General features: G+C 60.5%; 1 protein-coding gene across 1 annotated transcript; it reads left to right on the top strand.

Annotated features, from left to right (window-relative positions):
• The first annotated feature begins 21507 nt into the window (after positions 1-21507).
• On the top strand, positions 21508-23165 carry LY6D (lymphocyte antigen 6 family member D). The gene is made up of 3 exons (NM_003695.3): positions 21508-21582; positions 22360-22458; positions 22591-23165. The coding sequence occupies exons 1-3, from the start codon at positions 21531-21533 to the stop codon at positions 22824-22826; spliced, it is 387 nt and encodes a 128-aa protein (NP_003686.1). The 5' UTR covers positions 21508-21530; the 3' UTR covers positions 22827-23165.

Here is a 25347-nt window from a genome sequence, read left to right as displayed (position 1 = left end):
GCCTCCTGGCAGGTGTGTGTGGAGCCCCCTCCCCTCCCCTCAGAGGCTGTGTCAGGGCCTGCAACGCCCAGCTGTCCTGTTACACCACGGGTCTCGGTTCCTCCCACCGGCCCTGACCCTCAACCCCACCAAGGGGTGGATGAGGAAACCTTCCCAGGCCTGGGCTGAGGACTGAGGTTGTGTCTGCAAAGGTGCCCGCCCCAGAGTCCAGTCCCTGTCCCATGGCAGCTTTGCAGCTCACACGCTGCCATGACCCATGGCCAGGAAGCCGCTAAGCCCAGAGGTGACCTGGAGTGAGCGGAGCAAGAGGAGCTGAAAGGAAATGATCCTTCCTTTCCACTGGGGGTCAAGGCAATGGGAGCCCACATGCCATGTGTGTCCCCAGATATGTAAGTTTTCAAAGGAGCTAAAAAACAGTTAAAATAAAATACTGTTGACAAATATAACATCAACACCACAGGGAAAGCCTGGTGTTCATTCAAATTCCAGACTCCTTGGCCTTCATGCTGGGAGATGGCTGCAGAGAGAGCCAGTCCCAGCCCTGGAGCTTGCCTGCCCCACCCCCCGACATCCTGCATGGCCCCGACCTGGGCATCCAGCCCCACCTTCCAGCCTTGGGGTGGGTGCCCAGCAGCTTGGCCTAGCTTCCGAGGGTGGATGGAGAAGAGGGCCCTTGGGCTCTTGGGTCTGTGCAGAGGTCGGGAATGGGATTCAGGCCCTCAGGGGCACCTCTAGGGCACAGGTCCAGACAGAGGGGATACAGAGTGCTCCAGACAAGGCAATCTTGCTGATGGGGCAGCAGGGGAGAAGCGTGTTCAGGGTACAAGGGAAGGCCTGGGAAAGGCTGAAGGTGAGTGTAAGTGTCTCATGCAAGGGGTAGAGAGGACTGGAGCCAATCCCAGTGGGGAGGGCAGACAGGATGAGGAGGGGGAGGTGGAAGGAGACCAGAAGGGGAGCCATCCTGAAGCAGGGAGACATTGGGGGTTGGAGGAGAGACTCCCAGGGGATTTGAGCTTGTGAGCTGCTGCCCCTCAGCCTCCAGAACCCCAGAGAGACCCTGAGGATAGAAATGGGGCCAGCCCCACTGTAAACAGGCCATGTCCCGTGACCCTAGAATATCCCTGTCACCCCACAGTCCCCCAGGCCTGGCCTGGGGTTGGATGGGTAGTGATTCAGACATGGCCAGGCTGCCCTGTGCACCTTGGCTCTGCCACTGGCCCAAGCTAAGCCTACCCTAGACAGGCAACACCACCCCAAGGAGCCTGCACCATTCCAGGCCCCGCCCAGGCCTCCACAGCCAGCATTTCGACCGGATCCTAGGTGATTTGTGTGCACACTGAAGATTAAGAAGCACTGGCTCAAAGCTTCCAGCCTCCAGTGCCTCAGTTTCCCCATTAGAATGGGTTTGGTGACCCCTGCCTACCCTGGTGCAAGGGAGAGTGCAGAGGGGAGGGGGCCATAGATATTCAGAAGCACCAGGGATGAGGCTGTACCTACTCAGAAGCGGCGGGGAGGGGGCTGTACGTACTCAGAAGCGGCGGGGAGGGGCTGCACATACTCAGAAGCAGCGGGGAGGGGGCTGTACGTACTCACAAGTGCGCTGGGCAGTCCCCCCAGGCTGCAGAGGTAGAGCCATGACCCTCTGAGAACACCCAGGACAGGGCCCAAGCTGCAGGGAGTAGGGGCCCAGAGGCTCAGGACCAAGGGACAGCAGAGAGGGGGGCACAGGAGCCTTCTGAGAGTCCTGGAGGTGGGGCAGAGTGAGGCCTAGTGGCATGAGTCAGGCCGGCCCTGCTCTCCCCAGCGCATCTTCCGGCTAAATTACCAGGTCTGGCTCAGTCGCCGGCCACCATATAAAGGCGCCTTTGCACTGTGGCTCCCAGTCCCTGGCGGACAACCCCGCGATGAGGCTTCTCCTGGTGCTGCTGCTTCTGGCTGCTGTGTGTGCTGCCCTGGGTAAGACGCTGGCCACACCAGGGGAGGGACAGGGGCAGGTGGCTCCTGGGCTGGGCACCCCGGGACCGGGCGCTGGCAGGGCAGGCTTTGCCAAGGATCACCAGCCTGGACTGCGGGCTGCAGGGAGTTGGGGGAGGCCTCTTCCTATGGGCACAGCTTCTGGTGTCTTTGTGGCTTGTGTGGGGAAAGCCCCGATGCTGGTCCTGGGTTCCAGCCTGGGTTCCATCCCCCTTTTCCCAAGACAGAGGGGAATTCTTGGGATGTTGGACTCTGAGTGCTAAAAAAGAAAGTCCTAAGAAAACCAGGGCTAGTTGGTCACCGCCCTAGCCCCACTCTACCCTGACCTTGATGACCTGGCTTTGGGGCCTGAAAAGGGGCCAGGAGGCAGGGGGTGTGGGTGGGAGGGACAGAGCATGTGATTATCAGCTGAAAAATTATCATCTAGCGATAATTAGCCCCATCAGCTTCTCCTGAGCGTGGGGTGAGGGTAGGGGGGAAGTGGGGAGGGCTGGAGACTTTGGAGAGCAGCCCCAGCTTGAGGAGGGGCCTGCAGTGGGAAGGCTGGAAAGACAGATGGAGGGGGCATCAGGAAAGGGCAGGAGTCAAGGTCAGGCTGCCCAAGCTGATCGGATCCCTCCAGCCCCTATACGGAAGGGCACAACCCTTCCATATATCAGGGCACAACCATGGGAGAGAAGGGGCCAAGGGTGCTAAGTCAGGACATGGGGACACTGGCCTGGGACACCTGTGCTCTCTGGGGCTTACTTTGCTTTTCTGGAAAGTTGGCCCATATGATGCTGACGGTCAGACAGCACCTGCTGGGAGCTGGTCACTGCTCCCAGGATCTAATGAGGGTGACCCCTTCATTCCCATCACAGCCCGAGGGCTTAGGGATTACCAGGATCCCTACGGAGAAGTGGCGGTAATGTAAGGTCCTTGTTCAGAGGAACCTAGGAGTGTTTCCCGGCCCCACCAGCACCAGGAACCCAGCTGTAGGCAGGGAGAGCAAGAAAGGTCAGGGTCAGACCCCAAGAACATGGATATCAGCTGCACAGGTGCGGAAGATGCAATCACCCCACGCAGCAGGCACTCGCTCTGAAGTCAGAGCAGGTGTGCTTTGCCCAGGGAACTGCTACAGGACACCCCCATCAAGACCACCCTACAGGAAGCCTACAGGGCACCCGTTATAGAAAACCCCTACAGAACATACCTAAAAGACACCCCTACAGAACACCCCCTAAACAACATCCCCTACAGAATACCCCATAAAAGACACATCTACAGGACATTCCCTACAGAGCACCGCCTGCAGTACACCCTTACAGGACCCCTGTACAGGGCACTGCTACGGGACACTCCCTACAGGACACCCTTACAGGAAACCCCTACAGGACACCCCTGCAGAACACCCCTAGAGGACACCCCTACAGAACATCTCTACAGGACGCCCCTACAGAACACCCCCTACAGGAAACCCCTTCAGGACACCCCTACAGGACCCCCGTACAGGGGCACTGCTTGAAGACACTCCCTACAGGACACCCCTTACAGGAAACCCCCACAAACCCCCCTTACGGGAAACCCCTAAAGGACACCCCTAGAAAACACCTCCTACAGGACACCCCTACAGAACACCTCCTACAGGACACCCCTACAGAACACCTCCTATAGGACCCCCCTACAGGATACTCCCTACAGGGCGTCCCTACAGAACACCTCCTACAGGATACTCCCTACAGGATACTCCCTACAGGACACTCTCTACAGGACACCACTACAGGACACTCCCTACAGAAAACCCCTACAGGAAACCTCCTACAGGACACTCCCTACAGGATACTCCCTACAGAAAACCCCTACAGGAAACTTCCTACAGGACACTCCCTACAGGATACTCCCTACAGGATACTCCCTACAGGAAACCCTCTACAGGACACTCCCTACAGGACATTCTCTACAGGATACTCCCTACAAGAAAACCCTACAAGATACTCCTACAGAAAACCTCTACAGGACACTCCCTACAGGACACTCCCTACAGGAAACCTCCTACAGGACACCCCCTACAGGACACCACCTACAGGAAACCCCTACAGGACACCCCTATATGACACCCCTACAGTACACCCCCTATAGGACACCTGAACAGGACACCCCCTACAGGACGCTCCCTACAGGACACTCCCTACAAGACACTCTTACAGGAAACCTCTACAGGACACTCCCTACAGGCTCCCTACAGGAAACCCCTACAGGACCTGCCTTACAGGAAACCCCTACAAGGCGCTCCTACAGGAAACCTCCACAGGACACTCCCTACAGAAAACCCCCTACAGGACACTCCCTACAGGACACCCCCTACAGGACACTCCCTACAGGACACCCCTACAGGACACCCCTACTGGACACCCCTATAGGACACTGTACAGGACACCCCCTACAGGACACTCCCTACAGGAAACCCCTACAAGACACTCCTACAGGAAACCTCTACAGGACACTCCCTACAGGAAACCCCCTACGGGACACTCCCTACAGGGCACCCCCTACAGGACACCCCTACAGGACGATCCCTATAGGACACCTGTACAGGATATCCCCTACAGGACACTCCCTACAGGACACTCTGCAGGACGCTCCTACAAAACACTCCCTGCAGGACACCCCCTACAGGACACCCTTACAGGACACTCCCTACAAGACACCCCCTACAGGACACCCTTACAGGACACCCCTACAGGACACTCCCTACAAGACATCCCCTACAGGACACTCGTACAGGACACCACCTACAGGACACCCCTACAGGACACCACCTACAGGATACCCCCTATAGGGCACCTTTCTCACTACCTCCACCCCCAAGTCCTGGTACAAAAGGCTCAAAGATGCCTTTCCAGGCAGCACAGCCTCCACACCAGGATGTGGTGTTTCTGGCTTCTCCACCCACTGTCACGCCCTGTCACAGCTCCTGGGGCCTCACACCCTGAACAATCTGGCCTTCCCTCTTCCTTGCTGCACCTTCTGTCCAAATGTCTCTCCTCCAACTACAAATAGAAATCCACCACCCATGTCCCTACAGGGCCACCCACTCCAGGAAGCCTTCCCAGATCTCCCTGCCCTCTATCAAAACTGTGTTCCCTCTTGGCCAAGTGTCTCCCCAGGGCATCCATTGTACCTTGCCCTTCTTCCATAGGTCCCCATGACTGTACATCTCAGCCTTGTCCATGGAGCCCGTGGACCCAGTCCTCAATGTCGTTGGAAGCTGGGGGCAACCACACAGCACACAGGTGCCAGCCAGGAACACAGCCCACCCATGTTCCTCCCACTTGCAGCCTGGACCAGGGCCTGGCTGCAGATCCCTACATGGCTGGGGTATGGGCATCACCAGCAGGCTTCAGGCAGATAGCCCTCTCAACAGCCCTTAAGCACCTTCTGTATGTGAAGTCCCCAGAGCCACACCTGCCCTAGGAAAGGCAACCCAGCTGCCTCTGGCTTCCCTGCCTGGAGCTTCCTGCAATCCTTTTCCAGTAAAGAAGGGTGGGGCAGGGGCCAATGTTTTGTGCATTTCATCATTTCATCCTCCCAAAAGACCACAGCATGGGCTGTTATTACTCCCATTTGGTAGGTGAGGAAACTTTGATTCAGACAGAAGATGGGGACAGTAAGAAGTATAACACAGGTCACCTTGAAGTTACCCCTCCTTGTATGCGTCATGCTGCCCCATCCCTTCTCTCCACCATTTGCCACTCTACCCATGCATCCTTCCATCCACCCACTTGCCCATCCACCCACCCACCCAACCACCCTTCCATCCATCCATCCAACCATCCACGCACCCACCCATCCATCCTTCTATCCATCCACCCACTCACCCATCCACCCACCCACCCATTCACCCTTCCATCCATCCACCCACCCATTCATCCACCATCCACCCACCCATCTACCCTCCCATCCACCCATCCATTCACCCATCCATCCATCCACCCACCCCTCCTCCCTTCTACTCGTCCACCTGCCCATCCACCCACTCAGCCATCCACCCACCCATCCACCCTTCCATCCATCCATTTGCTCTTTCATCCATCCACGCACCCACCCATCCACCCACCCATTCACTCTTACACCCACCCATCCATCCACCCACCCTTTCACCCATTCACCTGCCCATCCATCCACCCTTTCACCCATCCACCTTTCCATCCACTCACTCACCCATCCACCCTTCCACCCACTCACCCACCCATTCACCCTTCCATTCATCCACCCACTATCCACTCTTCCACTTATCCACCCACCCATGCTTCCGACCACCCATCCATCCATCCATCCACCCACCCACCCTTTTATCCACTCACCCACCCACCACCCACCCGTTCACCCTTCCATCCATCCACCCACCCATCCACCTTTCCACTCGTTCACCTACCCACCCACCCACCCATCCACCCACCTAACAACCACCCCTTCATCCATCCATCTTTCTCCTGATTTAGCTGATGTGGCTCCACTACATTCTCTAGCATCCCCAGTCCTCTACCCAGTGGCAGTTTCAGAGGGCAGGGAGGCAGATGTGTGCATGAGTTTACAGGTGCTAGGGAAGCCGTGGGAAGAAAAGTGGCTGGGAAGACCCTTCGTGAGACCTGGGGCAGCCTACACCTGCCCCACACATATCCCTCCCTCATGCTGACAGCCTGACATTCACACACACAGGACAAGAAGGGACAGAGGGAGTGGTCACCACCACGAAGTCCCTAGCCCTTTGGCCCATCCCCAGGGACCCAGAGGCTCCCCTGGAGGGAAGGCGGAGGAGGTGGCTCAGAGGGGCAAAGCTGGGTGGGCTGGGAGCCTGGCGCTCGGTGCCAGCCCCAGGTTCAGACTGAGGGGCCTGTTCTTCCTCCCCCAGCTCAGGCCCTGCACTGCCACGTGTGCTGCGGCCATGAGCACTGCGAGTCCCTGGTGGAGTGTGCCCCCACTGACAAATACTGTGTGATCACACGGGCCAGTGAGTACCCGGGCCAGGCCCGCCCACCTAGCCCTGCCCCACTGGGCACCTCCCCACCTGGGTGCCCCTGCCCTGCCCTGGTCCAGACCCCAGGACACCACTGCCCTCCCAAAAGGAACCTGCAGCATCCACACCCTGCAGGCTGTCAGTGGCAGTGGCTAATGCACCTACGTTCATCATCGCATCTTTCTGCGAGTGTTAGAGGAAGCCCCGCAGCTCCCCAGCAGTATTGCCAAAATAGGGCCAAGAAGGGGCTTTACAGTTTAAACCAAAGGGTGCCCGTTTAAAATAGCAGGAGAGAGCAGGTGGCGTGTATGTGGAAGCCTGGAAAACGCAGCCCTCCTGGGAGGTGCCCGCATGTCCCTCTCCGCCAGCCTCTGCCCTGGGTGTCTCTAGCTGAGCCTGGAGCTCTGCCCTCCTGACGACACACCCTTTCTTTCCTCTGGCCTCCTGTGGACCCTTCTTCATTTAGGTCTGGTTCTTCTGAGCTGCAGGCTGAGCGGGGTCCCAGAGCTCACATGTAGGGCAGTGGCAGTGACAGGCAGGGTCGGCATTCAAAGGCTGGAGGAGCCTGGGGGTCATATCTGAATCCTGAGGACCTGAGGAGGGTGGGAGGGAGGAGGCTCTCTGCAGAGGCAGTGGAGACCCTGAGAGTGTGAAGCCTGAGAAAGGGCAGTGGGGCTGGAGACAGGGGGGACCCTGATCTGAGGAAGGTCCTGCCCCTGAGAAGGAAAGAGGCCGGGGATATGGTTGGAGGGGGCAGACTGATGGGCTCACACCCAGGACGGCCACATATGCCCTGTGAGACCCTGGAGTCAGAGTCACCCCCGAGCCTCAGTGTCCATGTCTGGGAAGGGGATGAGGGATCTCTCCTGGTGGGTCTCTGTCACCACTGGGATCATGTCTGTGGGGGCCTCTAGCCCCCATAAATCACAGCAGTTGTGGTTCTCGCGCAGCTCTCCCGGACTCCCTGTTCTGTGCAGGGGCAGGGGTGTTAGGGCAGCCTCCCTGTGTGGTCCTGAGGACCCATCCTCTGGGCCGGTTTTCTACAAATCCCAATGACCACAAAGTCCCCTCCAGCTTGGACTCAGAGCCACCCCATTTTACGGGGAGACAGCGTCCCTCCCAGCATGCCAAGGTGCCTGGCCCTGCCCAGAGACACCAACTGTTGCTCTCAAGGGCTAGGGGACGCTCCCTCCCCACTCTGGCCACACCTGACACAGGGGGCGGCATGGCGAGAAGCTGCTCTTGCCTCCATCCCCCAACAGCTGCCCGTCGAGCGCCTAATGTGGGCCCCACACTGCAGTGGGCACTGGGCAGGAACAGGGAAGCCCGAAGCCCTGCCCCGTGGAGGGCCTGCTGTGGGTGGTGGTCAGAAAACAACCCCCAAGCCACAGGCAAAGCCAGCTAGAGAGGGGCCAGGGGCACTCTCCTCCCCGGGCGCCCCTCGCTGGAAGCCTTGGCGCTCCTCCCATACCCCCAGGGCTGCTGTCCGTACCCTGCCCCTCTTCCAGCTGGCCCCTCACTGTGCCTGCTTCTGTCTGTCCATCTGTCTGTCTGGCCAGGCAGCATTTCCTGAGAGAGATCCCCAGGGCCCATCCTCCAGGGGCCTCAGAGGTTACAGCCAAGCCTGACATGGGGTAATGGGGTGGCAGAACTGACAGACGGGGTGGGTAGCCGGGAGGACAGTGTGGACAGAAGGCATCCTGAGCATGCACCAGGGGCCGAAAGCCTCTGGCAGGCGCACATCCAGGCATGGGTGGGCAGAGGAAATCTACCAGGTGCCCTTGTACCCACCGGCAGTGACTTCAGCCAGTGACTACAGACCCTCGATCTGCTGGAGTCACTCCATGTGGGTGGAGGGGCAGGGGCTGCCTGGCCCCCTGAGGGTCTGGGGGCAAACGGGGAAGGGCCCCTGGGTTCAACACCAACGGGTGCCACTACCAACCCCGCAGAGCGCCAGGCCTCGAGTGGTTCTGTCTGACTTCTGCTTGCTCCCTAGCAGGCCAGCTGAATGTCGCCATTTCACAAGCGAGGAAACAAGAGCCTATGGCCCACGCTCTGACGCGGCCTCACTCTCCCTGGAGCCCAGGGCCTTCTGTCTCCAAACCATCTGGCCAATGACTGGTGCCTGGGCCCGTCCCAGGTCTCCCGGGGGATTACTCAGAGACGGGGCCAGCTAATGCTGCCTCTACTCCATTTTACCCATAAAAACGCAGCTCCTTACTTAAGAACGGAGTGTAGGTTCACTAACCATGGGACTTATGCAAAGAACTGCACACTGGGCAAGAGGTAAGGGGTCCCTCCGCGATGCTCTCTTCGATCCAGGAGCAGCTTGCTTTCATCCAGACCTGGCAGCAGCTCTGTCTCTCTGCTTTGCCAGGGCCGGGAAAGGGCTGGACAGAACGTGGCACTAAACCCTGCTCCTAGCTACACGCAGCTATGACTGCTGTGCGTTTGGCCTCAGCCGTGCAGCGCCGCTGCCCTGAACACTCGTCAGGAATTCATTCCTTTCACCGAAAACAGTGGCGATGAGGAAACAGAGGCATAGACCTAGCGAGCATCTTGAGACAGAAGCCCCCATCCCCACACCCAGCTTTCAACAAGAGGACCCTTGGGTCAGGGTCACAGCTTCCAGAATGTTCTGAGCAGTGCAGGTTCAGGGAAGCAGCTCCCCTTTACCCAAGGCTGCCGGGCTCTGAGCGGCCCCCACAGCGCGGGTGCAGAAGCTGGCGGAGTCTCACACAGACAGCAGTGCTGCCTGAGGCCGCGAGCCCGCTCCTTCTCACCTGCTCCCCGGGGCCCCTGGCCGACCCTGCCTCCCTTTCCCTACGGGACATGAGCTTCTGCAGCTGACAGCCTGCCCCGTCCTCATCCCCCGCCATTTCCCGACTTGGTCGAGCGTGGGACCTGGGCTTTTCCTCTGCTCCCTGAAACTCTGCAGTGAGACTGGGGAGGAAGGAGCCACTCAGTTGCTCCTGGCCCCAGATGTCATGGAGGAGCCTGGTCTGAGGAGAGACAGGTCCCCTTATGCCAGAGGAAGGACCTGGCCCGCAGCAGAAGGTCTCTCTGAAACCCACTCCTCCAAGCCGCCACCCCAAGCCCCGCAGGCAGGGGCCTCCCCAGGGTCTCCCAGCACACACAGGCTGTGCCCGTGGTGCCGATCGATGGGTCCCAGGCTTCGGGCCTTCCCGGGGCCGGGCAGCTTGGCACACAACATAGGGTACCCACAGAGCCTCCTCCTCTCTCCACAGCCAGCCCCGGTGGCATCCTGGTCATGAAGTCCTGCTCCCCGACGTGCCCCAACAGCACTGTGTCCTCCGACAGCCGCGCCCTCTCTGTGTCCTGCTGCCAGGGTAGCCAGTGCAACCGCAGTGCAGCCGCAGGCCTGGTGGGCAGCCCCGGGACCCTGTGGGCCAGCATCGCAGCCAGCCAGCTGTGGGCCCTGCTGCAGGCAGCCCGCTGAGGCCCTGCGCCTGGAGCGCTCAGCGTGGGTCCCCTCAGCCTGACCAGCTCCCACACACCCCACCCGGGGCAGCAGGGTCCTAGTCTCAGCTGCCACGCCCCCCTCCCTCCTTTGCCCAGGCCACACCCAGCACCCCACCCCGGGCCCTGGAGAGAGAGGAAGGACCCCACCCCCTTGGGCTCCTGCCCTGGTGAGGGAGCTCTACCCCCACCCCAGGGAATTGCTGATGGGATGCTTCAGAGGGGACGCCTGCTTCAAGATCAATACCTGCAGGACCCTTTGCTGGGGTCCTGGGACCCTTTGCCAGCTGCGAGTGGGAAGAGCCCCCCACTTCTCTCCAGCACCCTCTATCACTATTTCAGAGGCTAGGGGTTGAGGGACTGGAGCCGGGGATTTCTCCCCCTCTCCCATGCCCAGCCTAACAGAACTCCCGTGCGTGTAGCCGTCAGACCCTTTGGGCCTCCTCTTCTGCCCACAGCGGCCCTGAAAGAAAGGACGTGGCTCAGGGGTTCAGGCATTGCATCCCTTTGACTCTATCCTCTCCGCCAGCCACCCAGTTCTCACCCCATCCCTCCTTTCCTCCCTTCCTCCCTCCCTCCATCCATCACAAACCTGCCCAGGGTATCCTTGCAGCAGATACCCTGAGGAGGGGCCTGTCCCCAGGGCTCTCACTGGGGGTTCAGTCTGTTGGTCAGTGTCCCCAGCCCAGGGACCCTTGCGAGCCCCATCCAGGTGAACACCGGCATTTTAAATGGTCCCCTGGCTGCGCACTGTCGGGGTAGGGCAAGTCACCTTGGGGCTGAGTGTCAGGCACTGGAATTGGGGGGTGGTCTCCATTCTCACTGTGCGGGGGGATCGTCCTGGCTCTCCAGGCAGTGACACCTGCCAGCCCACCCCAGAATAAAGCGGCGAGCTCTGCCTGTCCTCATTCTCAGAGATGCCGGGTCCAAGGGGTATTTCTTGTCCCTAGTCAACTGTGCCCTGGAAAAAGGGAAGGGCCCCTGCAATTAGAGGTGGGCAGGGGGCGCTTTACAGAGGAGAGCATGGAATTCTTGGTGTCGAGGTTCAGGTGTGGGAGAAATGCTCGTGCCTTATTACCTGGGAATCTTGAGTCCACACTGAGCCCTGCTTGACCTTCAAGGCAGAAACACACATGCAGTCAGTCCCAGGTGGACGGGTTACCTGGGGTCCTCTGGGAAGCCCTTCTGAGCCTTGGTGTCCCTTGTCTATGCAGCCCCACCACAGGCCCACATCCTGTGTCCTTGGTCCTCAGCCCTGCAGGGTGCCCCCACACCCCCGCAGCCCTACGTCTCTGGTGGGGGCACGGGACTGCTTCGACCACCCTGGACAGGCCTCTGAGGGCCATGTCTCCTCCCGGGGCTATTCCAGGGTGGCAAGGCCAGAGCCACCCTCTGCCCAGGGCTTGGCTATAGGGACAGACGCAGGGCCCTTCCTCAGGAAGCCAGCCAGGTCCTGGCGCCCACAGTGTTCTCAGGGTTTCTCTGCTTCTGTGGCCTGGAGGGGCCCTTCCCTGGCCCAGAGGCCCTTCCCTGGCCCAGAGGCCTCCTCCATCCAGGTCTTGAGTCCTCGCCCTGCTGTTCTGCCCTTTCAAGCTTGGAAGCCAGGAAGAGATGCCCTTTCCCTTCCCTGACTCCTTTATCCCTGGCCTCCCTTCCCCAGGTGATGGGCACAAACTTCCAGGCCAGATGAGTGACGGTGGGCCTCCTGCCTGGCAGAGCTGGTTCCCACGGCCCAGGCGCCTAAGCCAGGAGCCATCGTGCTGGCTGGGAGCCTCCCTAGGCAGGTGTTTGCCTCCTTTCTGGGAATCTGAGCAGGCAGGTGTGCAGGCCAGATGCCCAGCCTCCCCTGCGGCCCTCGGCCTCAACCTTCCGCACCTGCCAGGCCTCCAGGCAGTGAGCCAGGCAGGATGTTCCCACAGCCGCCCTGGTCCGGGGCTGCTGCCTGCCGCTGGACTCCTGCTCCAGAAGGAAGAAGGCCTCCCAGCAGCGCCCTCGGCCTGCCCAGTGCTTCCTCTCAGCCTCCCGGGGCCGCTGCCCCCACCCAGCCTGCCACTGGTCTCCCGAGCCCGTGCCCGTGCTAAAGAAGCACTCTGCAGGGAGCGCTGTGCTCCCAAGCACCCAGGAGCAGGGAGCTCGGGTCAGCGGGAAAAGCTCCAGAAGCTCCTGCTGCCTCAGCGGGCTTCTCCCCCGTTATCGCACCTTGAGCTGTCTGGAGGCCAGTAGAGGGCCGAGTGGGTTGAAGGGACCTGAGTGAACCCCCTGGGAGCCAGGCTGTCAGGATTCCCACGGGCTCCCCAGCATAGCTTTCCACAGGCCCCAGCCTGCTGGGCTCTAGGGATCCACGGGGAGGTTGGTGTGCGGTCAGGTGCTCTCAGCCACCCTGAGAGTAAAGTTGGAGTTTTCTTTTCTCAAGGAAGGTGGGAATCCTGACTCCTGCCCGAGGAGCTTTCCCAGGCAGGCTGACTCAGGAGGGGCTCACCCTTCAGGGCAGGCCCCACCCTTGCAAGTCCCAACAGAAACCGCATCTGATGCCACCCAGCAGCCCACAGCCTCTGCCTGCAGGAGCCTCTGTGTCCAGAAGCCAGGCATGGCAAGGAGGCTGTTTCCACACAAAGCTGACCACAGCCCCTCGCCACAGGGGAAGAGCTGGGGCACAGGGAGCCCCACTCCTGGGTTGGTGAGTGCTCAGCTGCACCCCTGGGCCCTCCGGCTTCCACATCACTAAGTCAGCAGCTCTGGAGGGCATCTCCTGCACACCAGGCATCATGGCTCTCAGATGCCACAGTGACAGACTGTCCCTGCCCTCGAGTGGGCAGGTAAGAGTGGGCACAGCAGGCAAAGTGACAAGCTCATGTGGGCTGCAGCGCCTGGCCAAGGTGTGAGGGAGGCAGGAGGGTAGGAGGGACAGGCCTCGGGGGCCGTGGCTGGGGCCCTCTGGAAGGCACCAGTGTCTCTGACAATGAGGTCAATGTGCAAAGGCCCGGAGGTAGGACAGGGCTTGATGGCCTGAGAGGAGACCCGGGCACCGAGACAGAAGGGGGTACCCAGCCCCCCGAGATGGACAGAGCACACAGACCGCCCAGTCAGGGCCCAGAGGCAGGACAGGGAGGCTGAGAGTGTGGGAGAGCACTGAGGGGGTCCAGGGGAGGGACTGCATCCAACCCAAGTGCAGGGTAAGGAGTGAGGACTGCAGGGCGGGGCGGTGCAGGCAGAGGCAGGCACAGCCCCCAGCCAGGAGGAGGCAGGGCCAGACTGGGGCCAAGGGAGAGGCAGAGGGAGGGTGGAGATGTAGGCCTCTGGGGGCCCTTGCATGGCCTCTGCGGGTTTGAGGAGGAGCAGTTTGGGGGAGAGGTGGGGCTGAATGGGTTGGAATGAGTTACCCCTGAAATGCCCGAGGGAGGTCTGGGTCCAGGGAGGAGAGGCCACCAGGCTCAGCAGGGCTCAGGCTGAGATGTGCGGGACAGTGGAACCCAGAGCCAGCATTGTGGTTAGACCCTGCTGTCAGCAGTGCCAGCTCTGAAATGAAGGTGGGTGGGGCTTTCTCAGGTCCCTTCAGTGCCGACCTGGCTCCTTGTGACCTGGGCTGCCCGTCAGAGTTGCTCCTCTGTCCCGGGCACAGCTGCATGGGCTCAGGGGCTCCTGGGCCTCCATGCTCCTTCCATTCGGCATCTCCTGCTCCCCAAGGACCCACCCGATTCCCTTCTTATGTAACACCCTCTTGATCCCTTAAGCCCCTGGGGTCCTGGTGAGTTCCCTGGCAGGGCCCAGCATGGGCCTCTCTTCCCTCCCCTGGAAGCCTGGCCTGGCCCGGTACCCAGTGAGGACTGCAGCAACACGCACACCTCCTGCAGGGACAGCCCACCCCAGGCCCTGCCCAGGACCCAACATCCAAGCTGAGCAGGGAGCAGCCATGCTGGGACGCTCCAGCCTCAAAGCTCAGCAGTCACCTGATCCCAGGAGGAGCAAAGACAAGCCTCCTCCACCCAAGTCATGTGGTGACAACTCACATGGCCCTGTGGAGGTGCTGGTGCCAGCAACAGACTGAAGACAGGGCATGCAGTGCATGGAAGATAGTTCTTTCATTCCTAAGGGCTAGGATCCATGATGTCCCCCCAAGTTATCCTGTAACCTTTAAAAAGCATGTGTCTATGGTCTGGGTGTTGCCAGCCCCAAAGCTGCTATGACCTGCTGCAGACCCAAGGGTCTCGGAACCCTTGCCAGGATGGACTCCTTGGCCTTTGAGAATTACTGTTTTGTCAGGGGCAGGTGTGGGTGAATAGAAAAGGAAGAGCGGGGAGAGAGACAGAGAGACATCATTCTAACTAACTCCTAGAGGACACATAAGTGGTATAAGGGCAGTGCCCACTGGTGGGAACACTGAGTTGGGGACAGGCCCTGGAGGGACAAAGCCACTGCAGACCACCAAGTAACCCTTGCCTGAGAAGCGCGGAAGGCTGGTCCGAGGTCTTGCTAGGACTTCCCGTGAGGGAGCTGGTCTGCACTGACTCATGGTGGGGAGTCCTTTGGTGGGACAGGAACTCCTACAGGGCAAGGGAGGACCACAGGCAGAGTAAGAAGAAGAATGCCTGTCCTGAGGACAGGAGAGCAGGAGTGAAACAGCCCACCTATCAGGAGACCCTCTGGAAGGATGCACTCAATATCTTGGGGATTTTCCTTACGACTAAGGGAAAGGTCACACTGCGCCATCAGCACTAAATTCATCCCATGTCTCCCAAGGTGGTCAAAATGTCTGACTCACTTGCCCAGAGGAGGCAGGATGGATGGAGGTTGAATGAATGGATCGCTGAATGGAGGATGGATGGATGGAGCATGGATGGATGAGTGGGTGAATGGATGAATGGAGGATGGATACAGGATGGATGGATGGAGAATGAATGGATGAGTGAATGGATCAGTGGAGGATGAATGATGGCTGGATGGATGATGGATGGATGAGTAGATGGATGGATGAATGATGAATGGATGGAGGACAGATGGGTGAGTGGGTGGATGGATGGAGGATGGATGATGGGTGAATGGAAGATGGATAGATGAGTAGATGGATGGATGGAAGATGGAGAACGGATGGATGAAGTGTAGATGGAAGGAGGATGGATGGATGGAAGGTGAACGGATGAGTGGATGGATGGATGGATGACGGATGGGTAGATGAGTGGATGGATGGATGGGTGGACAAATGGTAGATTTTTTTATTATTATTATACTTTAAGTTTTAGGGTACATGTGCACAACGTGCAGGTTTGTTACATACGTATACATGTGCCATGTTGGTGTGCTGCACCCATTAACTTGTCATTTAGCATTAGGTATATCTCCTAATGCTATCCCTCCCCCCTCTCCCCACCCCACAATAGTCCCCGGTGTGTGATGTTCCCCTTCCTGTGTCCATGTGTTCTCATTGTTCCATTCCCACCTATGAGTGAGAATATGTGGTGTTTGGTTTTTTGTCCTTGCGATAGTTTGCTGAGAATGATGTTTCCAGCTTCATCCATGTCCCTGCAAAGGACAGGAACTCATCATTTTTTATGGCTGCATAGTATTCCATGGTGTATATGTCAAATGGTAGATTGATTGATGGATGACTGGATGGATGGAGGATGGATGATGAGTGGATGGAGAATGGATGGATGAGTAGATAGATGGATGGATGGATGATGAATGGATGGAGGACAGATGGGTGAGTGGGTGGATGGATGGAGGATGGATGATCAGTGAATGGAAGATGAATGGATGAGAAGATGGATGGATGGAGGCTGGATGGATGGAAGATGGAGGATGGATGGATGGAGGATGGATGGATGAAGGCTGGATGGATGGAAGGTGGGCAGATGAGTGGATGGATGGATGGATGGGTGGACAAATGGTAGATTGATTGATGGATGACTGGATGGATGGAGGATGGATGATGAGTGGATGGAGAATGGATGGATGAGTCGATGGATGGATAAGTGAATGAATGGATGGGTAGACAGATGGTAGATTGATTGCTGGATGAGGGATGAATAGATGGATGGAGAATAGACAGATGAGTGGATGGATAGATGGGTGGGTGGATGAGTGGAGAATGAGTGGGCAGATGGTAGATGGATGGATGCATGGATGGATGGAGGATAGAGGATGGATGAGCAGGTATGTATTGGGAGCAAATGAAGGCAGGGGAGTGGGGGAGGAAAGTGAGGTGGGCCCTGTGCTCACCAGCCTTGAACCTACCTCATGGAGCTAAGGGTTGGCAGCCACAAGTTCCAGGCCACAACAGGAAGTAGACTGAGCTGTGGCCTAGCAGAGGGGAGAACCCAGGAGTTCAGCATTAACACAAACCCTCTGACATTCCCTAGAATGCTGGTGGGAGCATGTCCTAATGTGTGAAAATAACCCCCGTCCAGGGCACCTGATTCTCATCCAGGTTCCTTAGGTCTTGCAATTCTAGGGTTCTGTGTTCTGCAAGCCCATGCTAACAGCCTGCAGTCTTGGGACTCTGAGGTCCCCACAGTTGTTTGCGCTATGGTTCCGTGGCTCCAGGGCTGCACTCTGCTGCAACCTCTCTCCCCCTACCACAGGCTGGACACAGTTCACACCCTGAGGGATTCTCCCTCATCGCCCAGACTTTGGCACTGGGCACCCTTGACTAGCCCCCTGAATGCCAGCGCTTCGCAGGGACCATGCCGGTCCTAGGTGCTGAAATGGTGCCTCTCCCAGGGAAGGTGCCAGCCCCGCCTGTGGGCACCACCAGCCAGGCCTGGGAACAGGTTTGTTTCTCTTGGGCCTTAGGAACCTAGAGCCCCAGTCCAGCCTTTGCTGGGAACAAGCTGTGCCCCAAGGTAGAAGGGTTTCTCCATCCACGAAACTGCTCCCTAGATTGCCCCCCTGGCAGTGCAGGAAAGAGAGACCTGGCAAGGATGAGGGGCCTGTGTGGAGGGGCAGAGCTGGCCTCCATCCCCGGCCCCTGGCCCGGCCCGGCCCGGCCCATGGACACTAGGTGTACCCTGGGAGGGGTGGCTGGTAGCCAGGGTCCCAGGGGGTGACCTAAGACTAGGGCAGGGCCAGGCTTGGCCCTGGGAAGCAGGTGAAAGAGACTTTGCCTGAGATTGTGGTGCTATGTGTAAAGGTGACTCCGGCACTAGAAAGAGGAGTGGGGAGGCCAGGTGTGAGGGAAGAGCCCAGGCCCAGAGGCCCAGCCCAGCTGTGGCTCCCGCTTGCTGGGTGATGCCGGGCAAGGCCGGGCCCTTGCTGTCCATCTGAGGCCCCATCTGTGCAGGTGAGGGGGCTGAGAGGATCAGGGCAGCCTCTAGAAAGACACCACACACTCAGCCGCTCAGCTTGGGGCAGCCACCTGCCCCTGCGGGGGAAAGAGACAGAAAAGCGGCCTGGCACCTGGGCCCCAATGCCCTTGCCCGACACCCACCTGCTTACCAGGTAATGGCCACACACCCTTCCCTGCTTAGACAGCTCCAACAAGGTTGGTCCTCCCTTGGCTTCTCAGCCCCAGATCCTCACCCTCCACATCATCACACCCCTGCTGTGGGTCCCACAGAGGCAGCAATTGTCTGTTCCCACTCCCTACTGGTCTGCAGGCCCTGGGACCTGGGCCCTGTCTCTCTTCTCTCCTGGTTTCCATTATATCCAAAGTGCCTTGCATATGGTTGGTCCTTATAAAATGTTGAAGAATGAATGAATGAATGAGTGAGTGAATGAATGAATGAATGGAGTGCCTCAAGGCAGACGGATGCATTTTGGAACCCCTGGGGTGTGGCTGGGATTCTGGCTTGCCCAGGTAACAGCCTGAGGGTGAAGAAGCCCTTCCTTGTGCCCTGGGGCTTCCCAGCTCCTCCAGCCCAGGCAGCTCCTCCAGCCCAGGCAGCTCCTCCAGCCCGCGGCCCCGCCTTGTCCACCGGGCACCCACTCAGTCAGCTCCTCCAGGCCAGGGCCCTGACTTGTCCACCAGGCACCCACTCAGCCAGCTCCTCCAGCCCAGGGCCCCGCCTTGTCCACCGGGCACCCACTCAGCCAGCTTCTCCAGCCCGGGGCCCCGCCTTGTCCACCAGGCACCCATTCAGCCAGGACAGGGCCCAGGGCTGGGCTGGTGCAAGCCTGGAGTACGGTGCTGTGCCGCCCTAAGCCAGGCGCTTCCCTCTCTGAGCCACCACACCCTTGTGTGTTCCTAGGGGCCCAGCATAAGGTAGAGGGGGCAGAAGGTGGGGGAAGGGGCATGAGCAAGGAACTTCGGCTCCAGACAGAAGCCTGGGCTTGTCCCCGTGCCGGGTTTCCTGGTTCAGGGAGCAGGGGGCAAGGCTAACGGGGTGGGGCGGTGGTTTTCCCTGCCCCAGGCCCCTTCGTCGCCTCTCCCAGGTGTCATTTCTGCTGCCAATACCCTGATGGTACCAACCAGGCCCAGGGCCCCAGCTCCAGGGGCTGAGTGGGAGGGGTGGAGTGGGGGAGGGCCCAGGCCCTAGAGAACAGAGGAGGGAGGAGGGGGGAAAGGCTGGCGGTGATAGTGAGAAGTGCTTGAGACCCCACCAGGTTCTGCCCCAGAACGTGCCTGGAGCTCTCTGGCCCTCACTTCCTCACCAGTGAACAAGCACTGGGCAGGGACTGACATGAGGGGCCACAGTGTCTCCTCTCCACATTCCAATCCCTGGCTCTGAGGCTCTAGTCAGGTCACTGCCTACAAGAAACCCTCCCTGACTGCACTGTCCCCAGAAGCTCAGCTGTCCAAGGGCTCCTGGCATCAGAAGCACCCGCTTTCTCCTGAAAGTGAACTGTGTAGGGCTGCTGTTCATGCTTTTGCTAGGACCACCTGGGATGGGCAGCTCATCCTCGTGGGCAGCCCTGCCAGGTCAGAGGCCCTCATCCCACAAAACTGGAACCCCGCTCCGGCTCCCATGCCTGGCAGGGACGCAGCCACAGTGATGCCTGAGGTGTCCCACGGGGGTGAGCCAGGTGTGCAGGGCCCTCCTCCAGCCCCAGGTGTGGGGAGCACACTCCCCCATGGCCCCACACTCAGAACCCACTCTCAGGCCACCTGACATCCCGGACCCTCCAGCTCCACCAGACCCAGCAGGAATTCCAAACCTGTTTTTCCAGCAGCTCTCATGCCCCTGGCCACAGTGAGTCACCCTCCCCACCTGCCATGCCCACCGAGTCATCACCCCGCCACCAAGCCCTGAGCTCTGCCTCCCAAGGCCCCTGGAAGCACCTTCCCCCAAGCTGCCCATGCCTCTCACTGTGACCCATGGACACAGGGCCTTGGAGCTGGAGGAAACCTCCTCTCTCTGGGTGGGGGCATGGACCTTTGGGTCACCTGCCTTGGCAAGTGAGACTACACACGTCCCCACCAAGCTCCAGCCAGGGCCAGGCACCAGATGCAAATGTGGGGCTGCCCCAGGGGGCTCCCGCCTGCACCCTGGTTTCTAAAGGCACCACCAGGCAACCCCTCCTGTAGGTGGATCCTCCAGGCCCCGGCACTGTGTCAGGGAGAGCCCGGCCAGGAGCATTCTCAGGAGACATTTGCTGGGATCCCCGGCATCTGAGACGTGGGGCTCAGCAAGGGAGAGATGCCGGGAGGAAGGGCCAGAGGGTCTGTCTCAAGCCCAGGCCTGACTGGCCCCAGTACCCACGGTGCTCCCAAAAGCCTCAGCCCAGCCCAGGACCACCCTCCTCGGAACCGGCCCTGCCCTGCCCTGGGCCTGTTGTTGTCTGTTCATCAGCCACGTGGCAGCGGCGGCAGGAGGCTGGGCCCAGGGCTGACCTCCATCTGTGCCCCGGCTCCCACTCACCTTCAGCCTAGCCAGGGCAGGGGCAAAGCAAGTCTGTGGGCCCCTCCACACCACTCAGGTGGGTGCTGCCCAGCACAGGCGAGCGGCAGAGCGTGCTGGGCTGAGCAGGTGGATGGGGGCCCCAAGAGGTGGGCTCCTGCGCGAGGCGGTGGGTGCTCAGAGACCCCGTCTCCAGGGAAAGAAAGTCCCTCCTGTGAGTATAAAGAGGGTGAAGGCGGGGACTGGCCTCCACTCAACGGGCAGCAGACCAAGAACCTGCTTTGAGGCCCTGGGTGCTGGGGCCCAGCCCCAAAGAGTTCACGATTTTGGGGAGACTGGAGCCGGGACACCTAGAGCAATAGTTACAAAGTGGCCGGGATGGCGCTGCCCCCAACGTAGCAGGAGGGGCCTGGAGAGTGGGGGAAGGAATCCCACGGGGAGGGCTTCTGGGGCCCTGGAGGGCGGGAGGCAGGGCTGGTGGAGACCAGGAGGGCTCAGTCTCTCCCTGCACAACGCAGGGTGGAGTTGCTGCCTCCACAGCCCGGGCCTTCTGCCCACAGGGCTCCCCAGGCAACTTCGAGGGCCGGGTCCTCACAGTCCTCACTCTGTCCAGTGCTCACCTCACTGCTGCCCCAGCTGCCCTCCCTGCCTCGGAGTGGCCTCTGCCTCTGCCTCTGCCTCACACACCCCATCAGCCCACAGCCACCCCGAGCCCTTGCAGCTCAAGGACCTTCTGCATCCCCGGCAGCAACCCTGAGCCCAGAGCCAGGAGAGTAGGACCAGCACCTGCCCTTCCTACCTCCCCTGCCCTGGACACCCACGGGCACCCACAGGGCACCGGGCACAGGCTGCAACTCTATTGAGGGAACTATGGGGGGAATGCAGGGACAAAGACACAGGATGGTGATGGATGGTGGGGGGTGGGGGGCGGGGGGTAGCGGGTGGCAGGTCAGAGACAAAGTGACCCAGGAACGGACGGCAGCGAGAGAACAAGACCCACAGAGACAGAGAAGTGAAAGTGGGAGAGATGGAGGCACAGCAGCAGGAACAGCAGGGCCAGGAGGCCACTGGGCCCCGTTGCGGAGGGCAGACCTCTGCCTGGCGGGGGGCAGCAGGGGCAGCGCCCAGCGACAGCCAGGCTGGTGGGCGTGGGCCAGGCAGGGTGGGGCAGGTGCCCGTCCTGGGCTGACGCTTGCACAGAGCCCTGCAGAATGCCGCTGGCTGGCGGACTGCCCACCCCCGCCCAGCCCGTGCCTATAAGGCCTTGGCAATGCAGGGGCCCGCACTGCTCCCAGACGACATCAGAGATGAGGACAGCATTGCTGCTCCTTGCAGCCCTGGCTGTGGCTACAGGGCCAGGTGAGGGGCTGGGCCAAGGGGACGGGCGGGTGGGCGGCTGTGGCCTGTGTGGTCACCAAATACTAGGAGCCTGGAGCTGACGACATCTAGGCACAGAGAACCCCGACACTGTGGGTGCTAGACTCTTCAAATTTAAAACAACATGGAGCCCGAATCTTAACGAGTGTCAGATTTACAATGTTTCAGAATCTGAGGATCTTAGAACTGACTCCTGGAGTCACGGACCCTGAGAGAGTGGAGCAGGGGGTTGTCTTGAGATGCTTCTCACTGGGAGAGCGGCCATCTAGTCCCTGCCACCAGCCCCTCCCGGTCCCCAGGTCTCCCCCAGCACAGCCCAGGACAGCCCAAAGGCCACCAAGCCCTTCCTGTCATAGGCTCAGAGCAGCCAAGCTGGCTGCCCCCGGGGCCTTAGCTCCGTCAGGCCCTCAGAAACATAGCCATCTCCTCCAGGGACATCCCCTGGGGTGGGGACAAGAGCCAGTGTCCTCTTGGCAGTCGCAGAGCTCCCTGAGACCTTGGAGGAAAGGCTTGCAACACACCCTAGACAGGGGCAGGGCAGGACACCTCTTCCAAGCCGGCCCAGGCTGGAATACATGTCCCCTGAGGCTGCACTCAGGGCACATGCCCTGCCAGGACCCAGAGCCCGGGTTTGGGGGCCTAGGGCAAGGGCAGCAGGGCCTCTGTCCAGGAGGGGTCTCTGCAGGTGGGGGAGCAGGCCCTGCTGAGTCACCAGGAGGCCTCTGTTGGGCCCGCTGAGCCGGACTCCCTCCCCGCCAGCCCTTACCCTGCGCTGCCACGTGTGCACCAGCTCCAGCAACTGCAAGCATTCTGTGGTCTGCCCGGCCAGCTCTCGCTTCTGCAAGACCACGAACACAGGTGGGTAGCATCTGTCCAGGTGTCCCTGGGGCTGGGGGACATCCCTGGCTGTTGTGGGTGTTGGCTGGAAGGTTGTGGGGAGGTGGGGGGCAGAGGTGGCTGCCTGGCCTGACCACACTCACCTGTGCCCAGTGGAGCCTCTGAGGGGGAATCTGGTGAAGAAGGACTGTGCGGAGTCGTGCACACCCAGCTACACCCTGCAAGGCCAGGTCAGCAGCGGCACCAGCTCCACCCAGTGCTGCCAGGAGGACCTGTGCAATGAGAAGCTGCACAACGCTGCACCCACCCGCACCGCCCTCGCCCACAGTGCCCTCAGCCTGGGGCTGGCCCTGAGCCTCCTGGCCGTCATCTTAGCCCCCAGCCTGTGACCTTCCCCCCAGGGAAGGCCCCTCATGCCTTTCCTTCCCTTTCTCTGGGGATTCCACACCTCTCTTCCCCAGCCGCAACGGGGGTGCCAGGAGCCCCAGGCTGAGGGCTTCCCCGAAAGTCTGGGACCAGGTCCAGGTGGGCATGGAATGCTGATGACTTGGAGCAGGCCCCACAGACCCCACAGAGGATGAAGCCACCCCACAGAGGATGCAGCCCCCAGCTGCATGGAAGGTGGAGGACAGAAGCCCTGTGGATCCCCGGATTTCACACTCCTTCTGTTTTGTTGCCGTTTATTTTTGTACTCAAATCTCTACATGGAGATAAATGATTTAAACCAGTGTGGCTGTGGCTGTGCTATTCTGGGACGGAGGAGCTGAGGGGCGGATATCAGGCCACATAGGTACCCTGAGCCTCCAGCACATGTCCCCTGGGGCCAGTCGTGGGGTGATGCCTGAGGTGGCACCGTCCGTCCCCACCCTGGAAGGGGCAGGCTGCTCAGATGCCTCCCACCGCCCCAGAGGTGGAGGGCACTCCTGGGGTGAGGCCTGAGTAGGAGCACAGGGTAAGAGGGCTCGCAGGCCCCTCCCACACATAGCACCTAGGGGAGAAGGAACCCCTCAGCCTTTCACCCCGGGTCATGTCTCTGAGACCGGGGTTCAGGAGCCTCCAGAGAGGCCGGCTTGGGACACCCCAGGCCCAACCCCAGCTTTGGAGCCAAGTAGGCACTGACTACCTACAGCCATCGCCAAGGCAAGTCCAGCTGCCCAGGGAAAGTTCAGCCACCATCCAGGAAAGTCCCATGGACCCTATCTATGGGAACCCAGCAGCCCCTTGGCCAGACCTCACCAGGGTGAAGCTAGACTGGGCGGGGAGTATGACGCAGGGAATATGGGCCAGATGAGGTCGCCCAGAGGCAGGGAGGGTTCCGCACCCACTGCGTGGGTTCTGGTATTTCGGGGATGAGGTTGGGACGTGCAGTGAGATGAGGCCCCCGGCAGATGCCCCAGCAAGGGGCCCTTCCACTTCTGGAGAGGGCCAGAGGCTCCTGCAGGCTGACCACATGTCCCCGGCATGGGAAGTCTCAGGCCTCACCAGGGTCAGAGCAGAGCTCTGCCTTCCCCCAGGCCAGCTCCCTCGCAGGCCTGGCCTGGAAATTCCGTGGTGGCAGAGCCCCCTCCGGCCGCGGCCAGCAGACGGTGGCGTAGCGTGGGTGGCAGCTGGTGAGGGGTCAGTGGTGCTCCCTGGCCCTGGGTCCAGGCATTCAGCTCTTTGTCCCACACACCATGAGACCAGCACCATCACCACCCCCAGTTCCAGCTGAGGGGCTGGGGGCGAGTGGGGTGCTGGATGGTTACTGGAGGTGAAGCGTGATTTGGGAAGGCCTGCTCTTACCACCTGTCCATCCTGCCTCCCCTGGGACCCAGGGCCACTGTGCAACCCCCTCCTGGAGGGCTGCCTGCCCAGCCAAGGCACCGCGACCCAGGACTGGGTCTGGGTGAGCTTCACTGTCTCCACCTTGGGATCACCCTTCTCCACACCCAAGGCCCATCTCCCCAGGGCGGCCAAGGTGGGTCACTCCTTGCCCTGACTGAGAGACCTTAGGCAAAGCACTCCACCTCCGGGAGCCTCCATTTTCCTCCACTGGGCACCCACCTGGTGCAGCCAGCACCCCACATGCTGCCTGTGACTAAATGGTGGCCCTGGCCCTCAGCCCCCCTCCCAGCCACTGCAGGGCTGCAGGCATTTCCGTGCGCTCCTGGGGCCTCAGACCCCACCTAGTGCTCCTGCCCTTGGCTGGAACTGGGGGTGGTAATGCTGCTGGTCTCATGGTGCGTGGGACAAAGAGCTGAGTGCCTGGACCCAGGGCCAGGGAGCACCACTGACCCCTCACCAGCTGCCACCCATGCTACACCACTGTCTGCTGGCCGGGGCCGGAGGGGGCTCGGTCACCATAAGTTTTCCAGGCCAGACCTGTGAGGGAGCTGCCCTGGGGGAAGGCAGAGCTCTGCTCTGACCCAGGTGAGGCCTGAGACTTCCCATGCCGGGGGCGTGGGGTCAGCCTGCAGGAGCCTCTGGCCCTCTCCAGAAGGGGAAGGGCCCCTTGCTGGGGCATCTGCCGGGGGCCTCATCTCACTCCACGTCACAGCCTCATCCCCGAAATACCAGAACCCACGCAGTGGGTGCGGAACCCTCCCTGCCTCTGGGCGACCTCACCTGGCCCATATTCCCTGCGTCATGCTCCCCGCCCCCTCCAGTCCAGCTTCACCCTGGTGAGGTCTGGCCAAGGGGCTGCTGGGTTCCCATGGATGGGGATGGGCCCAGGCAGCTGGACTTGCCCTGGGTGGTGGCTGTGGGTAGTCAGTGTCCACATGGCTCCGAGGCTGGGGTTGGGCCTGGGGTGTTCCAAGCCGGCCTCTCTGGAGGCTCTTGAACCCCAGTCTCAGGGACATGACCCAGGGTGAAGGGGTGAGGGCGCCCCTTCTCCCCTGAGTGCTGGCATGTGGGAGGGGCCTGCGAGTG

The sequence above is a fragment of the Homo sapiens genome, chromosome 8, assembly GCF_000001405.40.
Source record: "Homo sapiens chromosome 8, GRCh38.p14 Primary Assembly".
NCBI lineage: Eukaryota > Metazoa > Chordata > Mammalia > Primates > Hominidae > Homo > Homo sapiens.
Note: the sequence above shows the minus strand (reverse complement) of the source record. Positions and strands in the feature narration are given on the sequence as shown.